Source organism: Homo sapiens, chromosome 3, assembly GCF_000001405.40.
Source record: "Homo sapiens chromosome 3, GRCh38.p14 Primary Assembly".
Classification (NCBI taxonomy): Eukaryota; Metazoa; Chordata; class Mammalia; order Primates; family Hominidae; genus Homo; species Homo sapiens.
In genome coordinates, this window is record NC_000003.12 from 39344756 (window position 1) to 39348751 (window position 3996).

The window sequence follows — 3996 nt, forward strand, 5'->3', positions numbered from 1 at the left end:
AAAAACTAACAATATTAAGTGTTGGAAAGGATATGGAAGAAGGGAACACTTATACACTGCTGGTGAGACTAAGTGATCCAATCACTTTAGAAAACTGTTTGGCATTATTTACAACACTTGAAGATACACATGTCCTATGACCTACCAATTCCAATCTTAGGTATAAATCCAATAAAAATGCATGCATATGTGCACCAAGAATGCTTATAGGGACATGATTCATAACAGCTCTTTTATGGGTTGAATTGTACCCCCCCAAAAAAGAAAATATGATGAAATCTTATTCCCTGGTATTTCAGAATGTGATCTTATTTGGAAATGGGATGTTTGCAAATCTAACCAAGTTAAGATGAGGCCATTAGGGTAGACCCCAGTCCAATATGACTAGTGTCCTTATAAAAAGTGAAAATGTGTACACAGGCACACACAGAGGGAAGATGATGTAAAGCCACACAGGCAGAATACATGTAACAAGGATGGCAGAGATTTGAGTTATGCAGCTGGCAGCCAAGGAACACCAAGCATTGCCAGCAAACCACCAGAAGCTAGGAAGAGTCAAGGAAAGATTCCCCTACAGGCTTCAGAGAGAATGTGGTCCTGCTAATACCTTGACTTCAGACTTCTAGCCTCTAGAACTTTGAAACAATACATTTCTATTGTTCTAAGTCACCTGATATGTGGTACTTTGTTACAGCATCCATAGAAAACTAATGTAAGCCCCAAAATGGAAATAATATCTATCAATATCACATCAATAGTAGGAAGGCTAACTTCAATCAGAAATAACAATTTCTGAAATAACAATAGATAGAAATAGCTATTTAAAAATCACAGTTATGGCCTGGGAATGGTGGCTTATGCCCATAATCCTAGCACTTTGGGAGGCCAAAGCAGGAGGATAACTTGAGGCCAGGAATTTGAGACCAGCTTGGGCAATATAATGACACCCTGTCTCTAGAAAATAAAAAATAGGCTGGTTGCAGTGGCTCACACCTGTAATCCCAGCACTTTGGGAGGCCAAGGCAGTCAGATCACTTGAGGTCAGGAGTTTGAGACCAGCCTGGCCAACATGGCAAAACCCCATCTCTACTAAAAATACAAAAATTAGCCAGGTATGGTGGAGCATGCACCTGCAATCCCAGCTACTCAGGAGGCTGATGTAGGAGGATTGCTTGAACCTAGGAGGTGGAGGCTGCAGTGAGCTGAATGAATAAAGAAATAATAAAATAAAAAATAAAAAATTGCACCTACACAAAAAATCATGAATGCATCTGACAAATAAGATGTTTACCATAAGAAGCCAGACACAAAAAGAAACATATTATATGATTTCATTTATATGAAGTTTAAAAGGTGGGCAACTAAACTATAATGTTTAAAAATGCATGCTTATGTGGTGATGAACTATAAACAAAAGCAAGGACAGGATCACTGCAGAAGTCAGGATACTGGGTATTTGGGTGGGAGTAGGTGGGGCAGGGAAAGAATGAGGTAGTAGCTGAATCAGGGAACTGGAAGCTTCTGGGATACTGGCAATATTTTGTTGATTGATCTGAGTAGTGGTTACACAGGTGTTAACTGAGCAATATACTGTTATTTTGTGTGCTTTTCTGAATGTGTGCATATTTCACAATTTTAAAAGTTTTATACAACTGTTGTTTAAGTCACTTATAAGAAAAGCTCATAAAAAAGAAGGTTATTTTGTAATTTTCATTCAACAGCATCCTTACTGAGTCAATGGCTTAAAGTCATTCCATGAAAACTAATGCCCAAGCATGTTTTTAGATGTTGCACTCTTGAACTTGATGCCATTAGATATGGCATAAAGAAGTGATTTCTTTGGCTAGAGAACTGTAATTTGCAAAACATTATAAGAAAGAGATTGACTTCTTTCATGACACCATAAGGAGCTTTGCTGACCTGCTTCCCAATGAAACTGGTGAAAATGACCAAAAAAAAGTAGTCATTTAAAGTCTCTGGAAATGGTTCCAACAACAAAGAACAAATGAAGAAACATCTATTCAAGAAAACCTGTAAAAATTTGATAAAAGAAAGCAAAAGTCTATGGTAGTTAAGACCCCACCACCCCAGCTCAATATGGTGGAGACTCCACTCTAGACTGCTACACCTAAAAAAGCACAGGTCTCCTTCTCCCCACAGCTTCTGAAACTGCCTTTGCAAAATTATGACTGAGATAGTGAAAGAGATCTAACCTAACTGACTTCACCTTGCTTTTAACCTTTAAGCTGTCCTTGTTCCTTCCTGGACGTGGGCTGAACTAACTTTGGGAGGAAGTTAGTTTATAGTTTATAGTTTAAAACAAAGATGATAACAGTCCTTTCCCAAAACAAATCTCCTTCTTGCCTGGGGACTAGACTGCCTTTGTAGGACTAACAAATTAGCCACAAGATTAGAAATTATGGTTTAGGAGTCATGCAGCTGGAGTCTGGAAGATGAGGCTGTAAAACCTAGATAATCAACTCCTGCACAGAGGGAGTGCTTTCTGGGTAATCGCCAAACTTCACATACATATGATGAGTCCCAGTAAAAAGAGTGGGTCTTAATGAGCACTTTCCTTTCCCTTTTTTGGGGTCAAACTAAGATAAGAAAGCTGGAAGCTTGCATGGGGGTGGGGGGATGCCTGCAGCTGCAAAGAGGTACCTAGGACCAGGCATGGAAATTCCCCTCCTCTTTTTAACTCATGCAGAGTGGGAAGGAGATACCCAGCATAGGAGGAGCCCAAGCTAAGAACCCACCTGCATGACAAAAGAGTGGGATGGGGGCTGCCAGAGATTCTGCTCTATGCAGATGGCACACCTGATCCCAACCAGTTTTTTGTGCTCTACATAGATAAGATACCCCCTCCCCACTAGCTCATTTATGAAACACCTTATGTTTTACTGCAGTATGGCAACCCATATGTGACTCCTCTCTGTAGCAGAGAGCTGTTCTTTTCCTTTCACCTATTAAATTTCTGCTCTAACCTCACCCTGCGTGTGTCTGTGTTCTTGATCTCCATGGCCATGAGACAAAGAATCTCGGGTGTTATCTCAGACAACGAGGCTGCTTCAGAAAGAGCTAGGGGAAAAGGCAGCTGACAGGAGCTTGTCCAGGAGCAGAATAAATATCAAACACTGACTTCAGAAACTATTCTTTCAAAGGAAATACAATTTCTTTGGTTTAGATTATAAAGCTATTTTTGCCCCAGGACATTGTTGAAAACAGTGGAGCAATCAGCAGGCAATTAGTGAAGATTTAACATCTAGGTGTGGTCAGAGAAAGAGAAGTGGCCTTTACCAATATCACTGTCATCCCAGGATAACTGTAGGCATACCCAAAACTGTCTTTCTGAGGAGCAATGTCAGAGGCTTCATTAGCACTGTGGGGGTTGGGGGAGAGTGTTTAAACTTTACTAGAATAATCCAGCCAGCCAATAAACTGATAAATAAACAAATAGCAATAGCAAGCTCTGGGGGTGGAGAAACTGGTACCCAGAATTGATATTACACATAATCTGAAAGGTCAAATTCCCAACAAAAAATAACAAGGTATACAAAGAAACAGTAAGGTATGATCATATACCAGATTAAAAAAAAAAAAAAAAAAAAAAACAGGCGGCTGGGCATGGTGGCTCATGCCTGTAATCCCAGCACTTTGGGAGGCCAAGGCAGGTGGATCACGAGGTCAGAAGATCAAGACCATCCTGGCTAACATGGTGAAACCCCATCTCTACTAAAAATACAAAAAATTAGCTGGGCATGGTGGCGGGCACCTGTAGTCCCAGCTACTCGGGAGGCTGAGGCAGGAGAATGGTGTGAACCCGGGAGGTGGAGCTTGCAGTGAGCCGAGATGGCACCACTGCACTCCAGCCTGGGTGACAGAGAGAGACTCCATCTCAAAAAAAAAAAAAAAAAAAAAAAAAAAAGCAGAGGTAATAGCTCTCACAAGAAGTCTCTGGCTAGCAAAAGACCAAAAGACAAATATTTACACAGATTC

General features: G+C 40.6%; 2 annotated features.

Moving 5' to 3' along the window:
- Positions 2035-2084: an enhancer, noted in NCBI's record as "active region_19702". NCBI's record gives its function as "activates an Ori minimal core promoter by ATAC-STARR-seq in GM12878 lymphoblastoid cells {active_cell/tissue: GM12878}" and the evidence as "EXISTENCE:reporter gene assay evidence [ECO:0000049][PMID:35858748]".
- Positions 2667-2877: a silencer, noted in NCBI's record as "fragment chr3:39388913-39389123 (GRCh37/hg19 assembly coordinates)". NCBI's record gives its function as "represses an EF-1alpha promoter that drives an FKBP-Casp9 reporter gene in an ReSE screen in HepG2 liver carcinoma cells {active_cell/tissue: HepG2}" and the evidence as "EXISTENCE:reporter gene assay evidence [ECO:0000049][PMID:32094911]".